Source organism: Homo sapiens, chromosome 2 (assembly GCF_000001405.40).
Source record: "Homo sapiens chromosome 2, GRCh38.p14 Primary Assembly".
NCBI classification, from domain to species: Eukaryota; Metazoa; Chordata; class Mammalia; order Primates; family Hominidae; genus Homo; species Homo sapiens.
Genome location: NC_000002.12, coordinates 46,428,990 through 46,445,860, shown reverse-complemented (window position 1 = coordinate 46,445,860; position 16,871 = coordinate 46,428,990). Strand labels below are relative to the sequence as shown.

Genomic DNA, 16,871 nt, shown 5'->3' with positions numbered 1-16,871 from the left:
GATACTTTTTAGGTCATTCCACCCAACAACAGCTGAATGCACATTTTTGTCAAGTTCATGTAGAAAATTTATGAAGACAGAACACATTCCAGGCCATAAAACAAGTCTCAATATATTTAGGTGGATTCAAGTCCTACAAAGTATGTTCTCTGACCACAATGGAATTAAGTTAAAAATCCATAAAGAGATCTGGAAAATCTTCAAATATTTGGAAACTGTGTAATACACTTTTAAATAATACATAGGTCAAAGAAAAAACATATTAGAAAGTACTTAAAACAGAAAATGATAATATAGGATTTCACAGTGCTTTGCAGCTAAAGCTGTACTTAGGGGGAAATTTATAGCATGAAAGATACCAATATTAGAAAAGATCTCCAGTCATGACTTCAGCTTTCACCTTAAAAAAGCAGAATAAAAAGAGCAAATAAAATCCAAAAATGTGAGAAGAATGGAAATTATAAAGATAAGAGTGAAAATCTGTGGAAAAAAAATACATAGAACCAATAAATAGAAAAAATCAAAAGCTGGTTATGAGAGAAGGTCAAGAAAGATGATAAACCTCTTGCCAAACTTAAAACATAACCAGAATCAGGTATGAGAGAGGTGATATCACTATTAAGGGGATAATAAGGGATATTATGAACAAATTTACGTCAGTAAATTTGGCAATTTAGAATAATGGACAAACTTGTTGAAAGATACATACTACTGAATATTAAGTAGACTGAATTTACATGTGCCTGAAGAAATTGGAATTACATTTTTTCTTTAATAGATAAGGTCTTGCTCTGTCACCCAGGCTTGAGTGCAATGGCACAATCATAACTCACTGTAGCCAGGAACTCCTGGGCACAAGCGATCCTCCCACATAACTGGGACTACTGGCACATGCCACCATGCCTGGTGAAGTTTTGTCTTTTTTTGTAGGGATAGAGTCTTGCTGTGTTGCCCAGGCTGACCTTGAACTTCTGGCCTCGAGCAATCCTTCCACCTTGGCCTTCCAAAGTGCTGGAATTACAGTCATGAGCCATCATGATGGCCTTGATTTACATTTTTAACAATATGCAGATTTTCTTTGGGCTGCCTTTTCCCCCAGTTTTTAAAATGAGTGTGTACCTTCATGTATGTGTATTCACATGCAGAAAACTTTGGACATATTTTTCTGCAATTGAAATAGCTTTCAAGTTTCTGAACAAAATTTCTTTTCATGAATGCTAAGTTGTTGAGGGGAAAAGTCTGACTTTTCAAGCTGAGCTGCAGAGAGGAGGTTTCCAAGGAATGAGTGTCCATCTGGAGATATTCAAGCCTTACTCTCTGGATTTCCTTTGTTTAAAAATACATGCTTCCCAGATATTTGCAAAGATGAGTGTGCGCTGCTGTGAGTGCCCACGTTGTGGGGGGCCCTTCAAGGCACATGACAAGGGTGGAGCCAGAGTCACCTCAGTGACTTGGAGGCCCCACACTTCCCTGGGTCTCCATTCCCACTTCGGCACCCAGGAAGGGGTTCAGAGCTCAGGGATGAGCCTCTAGTGTAATGCGCATGGGGCAGTTTCCCCCAGAATCCTGAACAACTTGAATTTAGGACATCTTAGTCTGTCCCATTTTAATTAGGGGAAAATCAACTTAAGGGTCTCCTCAGTTTTACATGGTCATTGGTTGGAATGTGGAGGGAGGCTGGGATGAGTTCTTACCTCTTTTGCTCATAATTATGTAAACAGGAAAACATGGCCATGGTTGGAGGAAGAGGCCCAAAAGGAGACTCAAGGGGACATTGGCTGTTAAAGCAGCAGGAGACCTGGAGACACTGGGGTGAGCTGGGGAGACATGAGAGTGGCCTTCAGGAAGTGTGTGCCTCCAGGATTATGTGGGCTCAACTGGCAGTAGGTGCCCAGGAGCTGTAGGTACCCAGAAGGCAGGGAGGGCAGAGGCAGAGCCAACATGTGCTACATAATATTTTCAACTTTCAACATTCCTCTGTGGTTAGGGGACTTGTACTATACTTCAGATATGCATAGATGATCTGGCAAAGGGGACTATGCCTACCAGCCACATTGCAGAAGCTAATAACTGGGAGACACTATATGACAAATTACTTGAATTGGGTGTTACATATGAGGTCAGGGATGACATTCCTATTAGACTATTCAGGGCTTTCAGGGTGTTTGGTAATGTCTCTGTTCCAGTTTCATTCCGCAAGTCCCTAGTGAGCACCTGCTATGTGCCCCTATCCAGTGCCAGTTTCTCTGGTCCTTGACCCAGGCCCCCCTAGAAGGAGCTTTCAGTTTAGTAAAGGGGAGACAGCAGGGCTAATTAGAGACAAATCAGAGACTTAGGGCTGTCGCTCAGAGTGTGACCCACAGGAAGCAGACATGTGCAGAGGCAGAACCAGTGTTGGCGGGAGTTTGGGGAAGGACCAATCTTAAGCTGAGTAGAGCTGGGACAGGTATCAGAGGGCCAGTATTAGTCTGGATAGTCTATTAGGCCAACACAGGGTGGTTTTTTCCATGTAATGAAATGTTCAACAACTCCAGTAAAATTGATATGATGTATAAACCCAGTTGAATTAAAGTTAGTGTTTAAGGTTTAGGATTTAAGGGACTAGAAACGCCTGCGTGGCTCCATCTGGAAAAAGCTTTTGGGAACACCAAACAGGTGGTATCGGGCCCTGTGGGGGATGTGCACAGCCTGGGGCCCCTGCACGTGTATTTCTAGGCACTGTTTTCTCCAGGGAGACGGGAGAAAGGGAGGTATGCCCTGGCCTTGATCTACAATATTGAGGTCACTGGTAAAAGTTCTTTAGGTTTCCTTAAAGGTGTTAGGGATCCCTCCAACGGTCAGATTGTGGGGTAAATTAGGGTGACAATAACTTAGGAACACTGGGGGAGGGGGTGCTGTGTTGAAGGCCGCCTATGGCCATGTGCCTGCTTGTCAGAATCGTGGACACCAGAAGACAGGGATGGGGTCTAGGGAACTTGACTCTCTAGCTGGAACTCAGCTGGGCACAAGGCAATTGGGAATCCCATTCCAGGGGCAGAACTGGGGTACAGGGTCTGCCGGATGTGAAGGTCTGAGTAAGAAACAGAGCACTAGCTATATCCCAAAGGAAGCCTAAGCTCACAGCACTATGAAAGGGGGCTACGGTGCCCCAGTACTTTTTGGTGAATGCTAATATTGGTTTAAGTACCTGGGCTGGCATGCCCCTTCCTGTTGTGTGAAGGGTTTAGATCCTTTCTTGGCTAAGAAAATGAAGCAGTAGGCTGACTGCCATTTTGTTATGAAGTTTCTCCCATGCATATAACCTTCAGAGTGAACAGGCTATGGCAACTTCAAATAAAAATCAGATGAGCCAAACCATCCCCAGTTTACACATGAGCGTGTTCTGGGGGAAGGAAACCAGCCTCTAAAAGGTAATGCTGGCAAAAAAAAAAAAAAAAAATAATGCTGAAATAATCAAATATTTGTTTAAATGATTACTTGCTATGCAAACAATTTTAAGAATTTAATGGAAATTTAGAATAGATGTCTATGGGGAGAAAGGGAAGAGGGTGACCTTCAAATAAGTTTCCCCTAATATGGTTTTAACTATTGGTCTTTAAAATTTTTTCCTTTTATGTATTTGTACACATGCACGCATATCTCATGGGGTCATGACCCTACAATATGCATAGTTGCCTTTCCATTTTCACCTTGGCATTTTTATATAGTGGCTTCATGGATTGATTGATTATCTACTTATTTATTTGAGACAGAGTCTTGCTCTGTCACCCAGGCTGGAGTGTAGTGGCGCAATCTCAGCTCACTGTAGCCTTGACCTCCTAAGCTCATGTGCTTCTCCTACCTCAGCCTCTCGAGTAGCTAGGACTACAGGTGCATGCCACCAGGCCTGGCTAATTTTTTTTTTTTTTTTGTAGAGATGGAGTCTCGCTGTGTTGCCAGGCTGGTCTCAAATGTCTGGGCTCAAGCAATCCTCCCACCTCGGCCTCCCAAAATGCTAGGATTAGAAATGTGAGCCACAACGTCTGGCTGGATTTTATTGTTTTAATTGCAAATTGACAATTTATAATTGTATAATTTTATGGGGAACAAGGTGATGTTACTATTTATGCATATAATGTGGAATAATTAAATCAAACTAGTCAACATATCCAGCACCTCAATACTTAATATATTTTGTGGTGAAAACATTAGAAGCTTCATGGATTTTTAAATGAGCCTTGTTCACAGTTGCATAATGTGTGAGCAGTTCGGAGTTGAATGAAATACTCCTCTTTGGAGAGCTAGGTTGTTTCTGTTCATTTCCTATTAGAAACAGTATTTTCATGTTAAATTTAATGATTTCTTGAAGAGAAATGTTTTGGGTGCAAATTAGGGAACAATTTAAGGAAGGAAAGCCAGGATTTAAGGGACTCAGAAAGTGGGCAGAGAAACTTGAAACCATCAAAACAGGGGCCACTGTCAGTTGTTCCCCACCTCCTGGATGTCTCACCTGAGGTCACGTGTGCTCCTGGAGGCTTTGAAGTTTGTTCTGCATCACTTTCACTGCCCTGTGTTAGGTCCACTCAGATGCTGTGTAAAGGTGACTGTGTTTTACTCTTCTCTGTATAGTAAGAAAAGGGTGGGCTCCTCTCTATATTACTCTGATCAGAAAAATCCAAAGTTGCACTTTTCACTTTGCAAAGGGGGTAATTGGCTTCACAGAACCTTTGAATAATGATCACGTTGCACCTGAAGTGTTTTATTCCTGATCACACTGGTGGGACTTCTGCTTGGGAGAGAAGACAGAAACCAGGGGGACTTTAAACCAAAGGTTTTGGTGTCCCTGCTCCCTTGAAGACCCATGGAAAAGCAGTAACATACAGTCATACATCACGGGATTCGGTTTACAACAACTTAGGCAAGTTGCAACAAACAAAACAGCTAGAAAGTAAAGTGACCAACATTTGCCAAGCTTCACAGTCCACTCTGAGGTGGAATCCTAGAATCTTAGCCTTGGAAAGGATACTTCGACCCCTTATCCTGCTGACTGTATACTTTCTGAGGTCTCTTGGCAGATGGGCATAGAGCCTGTTGAGCTAGAACCTTTCCTGAGACAGGGAGGTCACTGCCCCCAGGAGCTACATTGGTTGCTCTAATTGCGGGCAAGTTTTTCTAGTGGCAATGTTATCTGCCGTTCTGGAGCTTCCTCTGGTGGCTCTCCTTCTGCCTGTGGAGTAACACCAAACATACTGATTTTTCTCTATCCATCCTTCAGCTGCTTATGGCTGAGGCTGGGCTTCTCCCAAGCCTGTTCCTGTCCAGCCTGAACATCTTATTTTCTAACTTATTTTTCATTAGACAAAATTCTCAAACCCTTGCCATTCTGGCTAGTCTTCTCTGGACAAAGTCTGGTTTGTCAATGTCTGGCTTAAAGTGTGCTACTCATAATGATGTTTCTGGGGTTAGAACTTGATGAGAAATTCCACTTAAGCTTGGGAGAGTGAAAATAACTGGAAAAAAAAATAGACCTACTGATTCAACCCAACTTTATCCATTGCCTTCTGAATGATGGGGCCAGTTACTTCTCTGGGTTATTGGGGTGGGGTGGAAGGAGGATAATAGAGCTCCAGAAAAGAAGAGTTGGGCTTGACTTGCCTTTTCCCAGCACAGAAAATAGGGTCTCTTTTACTTGTAGTCCTAGAATATTCGGCAAGATTCTTAGCGATCACGTCTATCAACTTTCTGATGTCACAACCTGCCCAAGATCACAGAAAGATTTAATGACAGGTCCTAAGTCAGAGTCCAAATCTGTATGGTTGTTTCCATCAATTTCTGCTGCTCCCCTCTTCTGCCTGCTCTCAGTCTCTCCCTCTGCATTTCCCCTGAGACCCCTACTCCTAAGTCCCTTTTACTATTCTTACCTGAAAGCTTTCTTTTGAAAATACAAGCACCAAAGTCATAAGATACCTTGGCACCTTTTTTTTTTCCCCATGAGAATCTTTTACACTGTGGTTTGTGAAGGAAGCTGACTTTAACAATCTAGGTGATATGGTGGTTATCAAGAAAGAACACTGGCTGTTAAGATAATACGTGTCTAAATATGTCAGCAGGTGCAAGAGCTATCTTGTCCCACTGGGGCTACAGGAAATGTATTCACCAAAATGTGCAGGTCACAGATAGGTCAGAGAGATAGCACAGTACAGTACGGGGGTCAGACCAGCCACAGTGTGATTTCTACAGACCTGTGATCTAAGATTACTGGAACAGAAATGCCCATCCTTAGAAAATACCTTAGTGTTCATATGGGCACTCATAGAAAACGCATTTAAACAAAATTTCTGCAGCATCAAGGACTATCTTTAATTTTAGACTCTGGTCTACATACTGCTTGTAGACTATTTCTTAGATATTCTAATTTGTTCTTTTGTTTCTGTATGTTTTCATTCACCCACTCATTCCATAACTATTTTTGAGTGCCTCCTTTATGACAGTGACTCTCTTTCTTCCCTGCCTCCTCTTTCTGAATTCTACTCTGAATCCTTTAAGATTTGGCTGGAGTCTCACATCTTTTGGGATGCCTTTGTTGTTCATTCCAGCCCGCAGACTTCTTCCTCTGCTCTTTATACTTCCTGTACTCTTCATCTACTTTGGATATTTAATGCTCTCATGTGTAGACTTTGCCAACTGGCCTTAACCAATTGGATAAACAAACTGAACATCTCTTTAGCCATTTGCAGCCAACCAAGTTCATGTGCATTTTCTCATTTCATCCTCACAGCATTCAGGTTAGTATTATCATTCTCGTTGCAAAAGTAAGAAAGCTGAGAGCTCAGAGATAAAGAAACTTGCTTGTCACACAACTGAAGGTAATGATGCAAGACTCAAAACTCAGGTTGGTTCAACTGACTATAAATCTTCTGCTTTTTCTCTTTCACCACACTACACTTGTCTAAACTTCCTTTTACTCTCTATTGGGTTTTACATATTATTGTCACTCAACTACATTCTCATCGATTGAATTGCTCTGAAACTTTCTGCTTTAGTTTGAAGGCTATAGAAGGGCATATTCACTTGGAAACCATCAAGGAAATATGGAAATGTCAGATTGTATTATGGCCATTTTTGTTTCTAGTGTTATCTTAGTTGCTTGGGCTGAGCCTTCCAGAAGATAAGGAAGAAGATAAAATCAATACATTGCCATTACAAAGCAGCTTACTAGTACACAACTTCAGCTATCGTGTCATGTCCCTCGTATACCCAGAAGAGAAATCAATGTTTGGGGTGGCTGAGGAGTGGGGAGAGTGCAATCAAATTGGCCTAAGCACAACAGATAGATAGCTGACATCTAGCACAATTCTGTACATTCTACCCAGGTGCCTCAGCATCCACATCAACTCAGCTCAAGGTTGCTATTTAAGTTGGGAGTTTGGCTTTGTTTACTTGTTGGTTTGTTTTTCATTTTTTTTAATGTGGGCTCTGGCAGGTCTCTACTCGAGCATGAGCTTAAGGAATAATTAGTTCCACACACTCTGTCCTATACTTGGTGCCATATTGATCTATTTACATTCCATCTGTGAATAAAGTGGTTTCATGTCTTCCCTTCCTGTTTGTATACCCTTTATTTCCTTATCTTATTGCAGTAGCTAGGACTTCCAGTATGATGTTGAAAAACAGTGATGAGATTGAACATCCTTGCCTTATTCCTGATCTTAGGAGAAAACATCCAGTTTCTCACTATTAAATATGATATTAGCTGCAGGTTCTTTGCAGATGTTCTTAATGAAGTTGATGTTTCCCTCTATTTCTAATTTGCTGAGAGTTTTATCATAAATGGGTGTTGGATTTTGTCAACTGCTTTTTTTTTATCAATTGATATCATCATATGACTTTTTTTCTTTCGCTTATTGATGCCTTGGATTACATTGGTTTTTCAAATGTTGAACCAGTCTTGCATACCTGGGATAAATTCTACTTGGTTATGGTGTATAATTCTTTTTATACATTGTTGGATTCTATTTGTTAATATTTTATTGAGGATTCAGATTGATCTACTTAAGCCACAGCCATGAACAAATCACTCTCTTGTTCTAAAGTATCAATGGTTTCCAAATGCAATCAAATAAAATCCAGATTTTTTAGTCATTCAAAGCCCTCCATAGCCTGGTTTCAATGTACCTTTCAGTGCTTCCCTTCCACTACATTCTGTGAAGTACCTTTATTTCTCTAAACTTTTTCTATAGTTTCTCACTTTCCTGTGTTTGAATACCCCTATTCCCTTCATCTGCTACTAGGTATAACTTTCAATTTTTTTCTACCCCAATTTTCTAAAATCTTATTTCTCTTCAATATCTAGCTTAAATAATAATAATTCTCCCATACTGGTAACTGTGTCTCTTCTTTTGTCTCTGTCTTCCGAAATACAGTATCTCATATATGAGGCACTTAATGTGCATTTTCTGAAATGAAAGGAACCTGGAATTTAACTTTGGCCTTGTTGATCAGAATATGACTCCAGTCTTTGCTTTTTCATTTTAGATATTGAGATCATCTAGTCCAGTTTTTCAATCAGGGTAGTGGTCCTCTCTACAATATCTCAGACAGAAAGACGTTTCTGTGATGATACTCACTACTTCAAGATCCATACTGTTGCTGGACTTTGTTAGGTAGTTTATGTGATATATTGAGCCAAACTTGGCCCACCTAGGATTTCCATCATTGATACAGTGGTCACTGGAGGAATGAAATGTTTATAGGGAGACAGCCTATAGAGTAGGAAGAATTTAGGCTTTGGCACTGGTCAGTCTTGGGATCAAAGTTTACTCTGCTACTTACTAGCTGTATTGTCTTAGATGAGTCTATGCATTTGCCAAAGCCTCCATTTCTCCATCTTAAAAATGGGGATAATACCTTTCTAGGAGAGTTAGAATGAATGACAAAATGTATGCATGAAATAATTATGTAGAGCTTCAAGTACAGCTCCTGGAATTAAGAAAGTGTTTGACAAATGGTAGCAATTATTGTTAAGCTCCTATAGTGTATGCAGTACTCTATTACATGTCATGGGGGAATTTATAAACTAATTTATAAGACTAATCCTTCCCACTTAAGGAACTTAAGGCTAATTTGAATTATGTCCCAAATTTGTTGCTAGAGATGAATATGAGGAGAAACGTTCCTTCACTTGCCTATGGGATGAGTCCAGGTTGGCAGGTGAAGGTTGTAACTTCCAATGGAGGCAATGTCACAGTTTCTTGGAATCAGAGCTGGTCTCCTAGAGTTGACTGATATATGATCAGTTCAGTTGAAGTTTCCAGTGGTGGTTTGGGAAGGCCAGACTGTTACTGTAATGTTTGTGTGGGAAGGAAAAAGTGAAACAGACCCGCAGGGTTTAATGGGTGAGCTGAGTGAGCTGTAGACAGTGGGGCAAGAAGGGAAAAAACAAATGAGAATTCCTTAGAACTTTCTTTTCACATCATTAGAAGACTTTGTGGGGACGGGTAACTATTTTCAATGATAACAATTCATAGTGATATCCAAACCTTTAAAAAACATTGGCACAGTCTCCCCCCTTCCTTCTAACAATAGCACTCTCATTTTATGAAGTTAATCATGTGTAGCTCATTTTGGTTAGGCCACGCAATATTTTTTAGCTGTGAACTGGTATTAGGATTCGAATGTCCTAGATGCTTTATTAAATGTTTTGTGGTCTTAGTGGGCAATTGGTAATAGCTGCTTTGAACATTTTCTAGGCTAACATGCTAGAGGGTTATCTCTATGACATACAATGTTTGGAAATTTGCCACAGGTTTGAATAGATGCAGAACTAGTTCCTGTGGGAATCATCGCTGCTCTTGTTGGCCCACTTTTTTGGTGGAGGTTCAGTGAATTTTCATGCTGGCTCCAATCCTGATTAGACTCCTTAAACTGACTAAAGAGGACGTTAGCCCCCACCCTCCACTTGGCTTATGGCCAAAGCATATCCAGTCTTCCTTTGACAAGAGCAATACATTGTGTGAATCTCAAGTTTTTGCCTGATAGTGTAACTTCAAACTCTGCAGCTCTATTCTTATCAGAAGCTCATTTTTTTAAAGAAATAATGTTCATAGAAGATTGCTTGAAGGATAAACCATTCATTTCTTTTTCCATATTCTACATGCTATTCTTGGGTCAAGAGGTACCATCAGATGGTTGCAGACTGGACTGAATTGCCTAGGTCTTTCAAATAATTCATTTGATTAATGGAACTTTGATGTGTGTTGTTAGTCTACATTGAGGAACTGAAACCTGCTATTGTATTCATTGTGGGTCTTTATGGAAGGTGGAAGTCATTCCAACCTACTACATTGGGGTGGGGGAAAATTCTCCCTGGTTTCAGTACCAGGACAACTTGGGCTTCACCTGGCATCTGTTGTTATCTTTTAGAAACCAGAAAACTTGTAATCAATATTACCCTCTGTGGATTTGCCACAGGAAGCACACTGTAAAATTTGTGGTCCTCTCTCTCTTTAGTATTGTGTCTTACTCCTTGTTTATCTCTTTTGCCCACTTTATTTTTCCTTTGGCCCAACTTTCTCATTGAAACAAAACTATAATTGAACTGCATGGAGATCTGCAGCTGCCATGAATTCCTTCATGAACAAGTTAGGGCAAGTCAGAATTTTTAAGAGCCTACTATCCCTTGGTGAAGGTCAGCACAGTATGTGGGAAATTCCAGAGGAGAGAGCAAAGAGGGGAGTATTTGCCTGAGAGAACAAAGATCAGCATCTGTTTGCATCTCAGCTCTGCAAAACCCTCTTCTAACCCTTACTGGTCACATGCAATATGCTCAAACCACGAAGTTTGTTTTTTTTAGGAAATTACGGAGGTGTTCCAGAAATGGAAAGTCTGCGCTAACTCTCCAGAAATCCAGTCAGACTTTGTGGGTGATTGGGGTCAGAAAGCCAAACACACCCTCTGTCAAGACTCCACAGCCCAGTTAGCTGTACCTCTGGGGGAACCAGCAGCTGCTCTGAGCACCCCTCTCCCCTTGCATGGCAGTCTCATGCATCTCTGGCTCGGCTCACATGTGCAGGTCTCCAATTGATTAACTTCATTTCATCCACCAAAAAGACAGGTGGGCCCTCGGTCTTGACACATTCCTGATGAAGAGGTAGAGGTTCTTGGGATGACTTACAGGAGAAGTCATGGCTTCCTCAAGCCAAGAAGGTCTTCTTTGGCTGTGGCCTCTACCCTTGGCTTCCCCCACTCCCCCGCACTCTGTGCTCTTTGCTCAGCATATAGTGACCTCCCCTCTTTTTGAACATTCAAGTGGTATACACGTCCTTCAACGCTCAGTTCAAATCCTTTCAGTTCTCTCTACTCCTCCAACAGTTACCCTCTACAGCTAGAATTTCTGCAGCCTTTGGTCTGGAGCATGCTTAGCCCTTAAATTCTGCTGTCCCTGTGACTAGGACATTTTATTTGTCTGTGGTTCCTCTCCAACTAGATTTTAATCTTCTAAACGGGAGCATATATATCCTAACCTTAGTCTTTTATTTCTCACAGACATTAACATGATTCTAAGCAACAAGAGTTACTAAAAGTCTCCTTCTCTTCCTCTTCTCCATCATCTTCCACCTTTCCATCTTTCTTGCCCCCTCCTCCTGTTGTTCTACACTGTCATCTTCCTATTCCTCCTGCTTTTCCTTATTAGCTGTATGTGGGACTCAGTATTAATCAGCTTTGCGTGCTGACAAGTAACCCTCATACTTCAGTGGCTCACAAAACATAGATTTGTTTCTGTTTCACGAATACGCTAGATTAGCTGGGGCCCTGCTCCATGTCTTCTCATCTGGGACCCAGCTGAAGGAGAAGCCCAGATTCAAGACAAGTGATGACCAAGGGAAAGTGTAAGAGAACTGGAAAAAACTTGCATTGTCCCTCATGCTTTTCTCTGTCATTTCCATTCACATCGTATTGGCTCCATTGAGTCTAGTGGCTGAGCTTGACATGGGCAGGGAAGCATACCCTAATTACAGGAAGGTACTCAAGTCACATGGCCATGAGTGTCTTGCAATCATCTCTCAAGAAAGGGAGCCAAGAGTTGGGACAATGGAAACATTTACTACAGATGACTTCTAGGTGCCTGGCTCTGCTTGGTGCATTACATGAGGCAATGAATGTTCAGTTCCAGGTACAGAAATTTTATGACACATTTTACCTCTATTCTAGTCCCATTTGAGCCCTATTTTATAATGAGGAAATGGAAACTTAGATAATTTAGGCAGCTTTTGAATGAATGTTTGTATTTCTTTCAGCTTTTCTTGCTGACTGCAAATGCCCAGGTCCCACCAGCATTTCTCTTCTCAAGACAGTGCTCCCTCCCAGTACCGTTCTTACAGTTTTCCACTGTGATCCTAAGAAAAAACGTCCTCAGTAGGTCTTAGCAGATTATTTATTAACTATGAGATGAAGAGAGTTATATCATAAACTTCTGGGCAGTGGCTCACACCTTTAATTCCAGCACTTTGGGAGGCTGACAAATTCTAGAAATGCAAGGTCTCGGAATTTTACCTCCCATGTATCCTTTCCCAGGAATTTACTGGAGCATGTGCTCCATCAAAACATTTGTGTCGCCTCTGTTCCCAGTGAGAAAGCAGTATGCAATAGAGGATGAGGGCCACACTCGGAGAATGAATGTAGTGGGTAGTCTGAGAGTGAAAGACAGCAAAGGCATAGAGCATACCAAGCAGCAGATAGCACTGTTTCCGCTCTCGGGTCCACATGACTTGATGCCAGACATTTTCCCCCAGTCACATGAACCAATATGTCTTTTCTTGTCTCAGCTAGTTCCAGTTTGATTTGTGTTCCTTGCATCAGGAGGAGTCTTGATCAACTTAATGGATATGACAGTTGCATGGCTTTCTAAAAATACCACTTTTGATTTGGATATGTTCACATAACTTTTGCAAAACAAACAAAATTCCTTCTTTCCTTCCAGAGAATCAATTGAGCACAAAAATGTGCTGTGTACAGTGTTTGATCTGGATAACAACAATGACAACGGATATCTATAGCAAGTTGTATTTCAATTTTTTTACCAAATTTTGCTTAGTGTAAAAAATAACATCATTAAATAAAACTTTTCAAAGAATAAGATTTATCTCTACTTCCATCAATGTATTTTTTTGCAGTTTCCTGTGTTTTCATCTGCTGTTTCTTCATATGCAAGATAAGGTCTTCCATGGTTGTAATCATGGTGTGCCCCAAATTTGGAACTCTACTTTTTCTCTATTAAATCATAAAATCTCCATTCATCATATTTAATTTCTGTATAATAGGGTTTTTTCAACCTCAGCATTATTGACATTTTGGGAGGCTGTCCTATACACTGCAGTATCCTTGGTCACTCCTCATCAAGTGCCAATAGAACTCACCCTCCCCCCAGGTTGGGACAACCAAAAATGTCTTCAGACATTGTTGAATGTCTCTTGGGGGGCAAAATCATCCTTCACGGAGAACCATTACTGTATAGTACTCCTTTGATTTGACACCATAGTTTTTTTTTTTTAACAAGTCCCCTATTTAAGTTACTTCGAATTTATTGCTGTTACAAATGATGCAGAACTAAAAGTTCTAGGTATACACCTTTTTATAATTCAAAATTGTTCTCTTGAGAATAAATTCAATATGGTCAAGGGGTAGAAACACTTTTGTGGATTTTGACACTCATTACTAATTTGCTTTTCAAAAGAATCCCACCCATCTTAGTGTGAGGAACAATGAAAGAATGTAATAGTTTCCCTGCCATCTTGCCAGTGCATCATCTAATATGTTGTAATTTCAGCATCATGTGGTGAAAGGAATCTAGAATTTGAAGTCAAACTGGCCTGGATCAAAAAGCCACATAAGCACTGATAGCACGTTGGCCTCAGGTAGTTACTTTATCTCTCAGCTCTGATGTTTGTAAGAGTGTTTGAACGATCTCTACCTTGCAAGGTGGTTGTGCTTAAAAAAAAACTGTTATTAACTGTCATTATGCACTGCTGTCCTGGATATTCAAAATACCTCTGTCTGTAAGGCAGGCAGTGGAAAATATAATTTCTGTTTTACAAAGGCCGGAGAGGGGAAGGTATTTATCAGAGTCACACAGGAGACGTGGGCTTCCACAGAGCCTGGAGGTTTATTGCGCCAGAGAGTTTGTTTCATTCTAGCCATCTGTATATGCCTCTACCAGGTGCCTGCCCTGCTGGAGGCTGTGGGGGTTGCCAGAGGAAGGGGTAGCAGAGATTACTGTCTGACACATGAAATTACAGGAGCTCCATGCCTGGTACTGTTAAAGATTCCCAGATTCTAGGGATTCTTCTCTGTCCTTCACTCCCAGGACCTCTGTTGTCAGCATGACTGGACAGCCCTATGCCTGACATATATCCTGATTCCCTTTACTCTCCCCAGTCAGCTCCTAACCAGTACCTTGCTTCTGCTGTCACCCTCCATAGTCCACTCTCCACAAAGCCTCAGCCTTAAACAGTAAATTAGATCATGTCATGCCTCTCCTTGACCCCTATAATGCCTTCCCATTGCACTTAGAATAAATACTAACTACATACCAGAGTCAGCAACTTACCCCAGTGGCTCTCAACCTTATGATGTAGCGTCACCTGGAATTTTTTTTTTTTACAGGTTTTAAAAAATAACCTTCACTTTTTAAAAGCTAATGTGTGCATTACAGGAAACTGAAAACCACTAGAAGCAAAGAACAAAGCCATCCACAATCACAAGCAATTTAGTTTCACATGTCCTTCTAAGTCCTGTTTGTGTAGATACAACATCCAACTTGATGGACTTGAGATCATATGTTATGTATCATGCCTTTTCACACATCATGAATATTTACCAATTCAAAATCTTAAAGCTATGTGAGTATTCTGATACTCAGCAACACATTACAGCAACTTCATCTGTTAGAAAAAATGTAATCCTCCCTTTCTTAGGACAAAAATTTCATAGAAGACCCAAATGACAACATGCCTCTACATAAAAGCATTAGCAGAGTTCTGATTAAAATACTGCGTTTTCTTAATGCTCAATTTAAAATGAAACATAAAGCAGCAGAATACACTATGTATAATGTTTCTAAGATAATTTCTCATATCTATACCATTAAAATATTAGCAAGAAGGTATGTTTCCTTCAAATTACTTACTGTATTCCTATAGTACAGCCAAAAGAGTTGCACATATATCAATGACTAGTATCAAAATGTAAACATAGACACATTTGCATACATCTCTCCCTTTATACTTCATTCTGCCCTTCTGCTGCCAACCTAATGAACAAGTCCTGACATACACTGCTCAGACGTGGCTTAACAATTCCATGTTCAAGATGCATCTTTTCTATCAGTTATAACAAAAAATATTAATAAATTGCCTAATTCACTAGCTCTACTTTTTATCATACATTGTCACTCCAGGACTTTCATAAAGCTCAGATGTTGCAAAATAATAAAACTTGTCCACAACAAACACAGGCACTTTACTGAAAATGCTCATATAGAGCTATGGGTATGAGTTTAAACCATCTTCTAGATATGGAGATACTAGCAAAGAGCCCTTTCCTTCATCCTTCCTCTTCTCCCTCTCCCACCATCCCAACGACTAAGGATACTACTGTGTTTAGCTCCAAGGGGTGGATTACCAAACTCAATCCCAGAAGACAGGACTTCCTATAAACAAACAAAAGGACATTTATGAAGGGATTGTTTTACGTTAGTCAACTCTATGTACAGTGGTGAGCATTAATAAAATGTACACAAAACAAAGGTTAGATTAGAACATGAAAATCTCTTCAGATATGACCAGACTGGCCTAGAACTTCCTTCTCAGGTTTTCTATGTCCTTTAACTCACTGAACAAACGTGGAAGCTTCGCTTCCAGAGGTGGTCTAACCACTTCAAAGTCACCTCCAGAAGACATTTATTTTTTATAATTTTTTTTTTGAGACGGATTCTTGCTCTGTCACCCAGGCTGGAGTGCAATGGTGCAATCTCCGCTCACTTGCACCCTCTACCTCTGTCTCCTGGGTTCAAGCGATTCTCCTGCCTCAGCCTCCCGAGTAGGTGGGATTACAGATGCCCGCTACCACTCCCGGCTAATTTTTGTATTTTTAGTAGAGACGGGGTTTCACCACGTTGGTCAGGCTGGTTTCGATCTGACCTCGTGATCCGCCCGCCTCGCCCTCCCAAAGTGCTGGGATTACAGGCATGAGCCACCGCGCCCGGCCTATGATTTCTTTTTAAACAAATGAGAATTTACAAGATGTGTGATTTTCTAACTCTGTCATACGTCGGCAACCTCTTCTCATCTAGAAAGCCTAGATGTGGAAAATGTTTTCTTTTAAAAGGTTGGAGGGAAGTTGAGAGCAACTTTTTCATGTTATATACACACAGGTTTTCTATAAACGGCCAGTAAACCTTCCCAAAGGGTGGTGGGCATGTCCAGCGGGCCAACTGTGGCCTGTCATCCTACCATTTCTCTTGCGACATAGAGGTCTGGTAGAACTAACACCAACCCGCGATGGCCACTGATCCTTCTGCTCACCCTCCTCCAGGACTTTGCTCACCTTCTGTGCCGTTAAGGCCTTTGTTGGTTGTCCTCAGGACTCAGTAGGTCTCCTTCAACTGTGACTGAGCAGTCTCTGCAGGCCTAGGCTTTACGTTGCTCTGTGGCCTAAAGAGGCCTCCGTAGACCCGCCCTGCCACACCCTAGGGGCCTCCCTGCCGCCGCCATGCTTCCGGCCGGCCACGGCAGCTGCCACTCAAAGGCTCTGCATCCGGGTGGCTTGGCAGGGGTGTCCTCTGGAGATCCAGCGGTCGGCGGGGTCGGCTGGGAGAGGCTGCCGCCACCATCAGG

General features: G+C 41.3%; 1 long non-coding RNA gene across 1 annotated transcript, besides 3 other annotated features; it reads right to left on the bottom strand.

Annotated features, from left to right (window-relative positions):
• Positions 3,117 to 3,411: a silencer, noted in NCBI's record as "tiled region #2986; K562 Repressive non-DNase unmatched - State 23:Low". NCBI's record gives its function as "represses a minimal TATA promoter and a strong SV40 promoter by Sharpr-MPRA in K562 cells {active_cell/tissue: K562}" and the evidence as "EXISTENCE:reporter gene assay evidence [ECO:0000049][PMID:27701403]".
• LINC02583 (long intergenic non-protein coding RNA 2583) lies at positions 4,028 to 16,671 on the bottom strand. Its single transcript, NR_103805.1, has 4 exons — positions 16,582 to 16,671; positions 5,635 to 5,734; positions 4,490 to 4,765; positions 4,028 to 4,302 (listed from the first exon to the last, which is right to left on the bottom strand). It is a non-coding gene; the product is annotated as a long intergenic non-protein coding RNA 2583 (long non-coding RNA).
• Positions 10,537 to 10,831: an enhancer, noted in NCBI's record as "tiled regions #1085 and #2665 (exact overlaps); HepG2 Activating DNase matched - State 5:Enh". NCBI's record gives its function as "activates a minimal TATA promoter and a strong SV40 promoter by Sharpr-MPRA in HepG2 cells {active_cell/tissue: HepG2}" and the evidence as "EXISTENCE:reporter gene assay evidence [ECO:0000049][PMID:27701403]".
• Positions 10,537 to 10,831: a silencer, noted in NCBI's record as "tiled regions #1085 and #2665 (exact overlaps); K562 Repressive non-DNase unmatched - State 7:EnhWF". NCBI's record gives its function as "weakly represses a minimal TATA promoter and a strong SV40 promoter by Sharpr-MPRA in K562 cells {active_cell/tissue: K562}" and the evidence as "EXISTENCE:reporter gene assay evidence [ECO:0000049][PMID:27701403]".
• Positions 16,672 to 16,871: the final 200 nt, after the last annotated feature.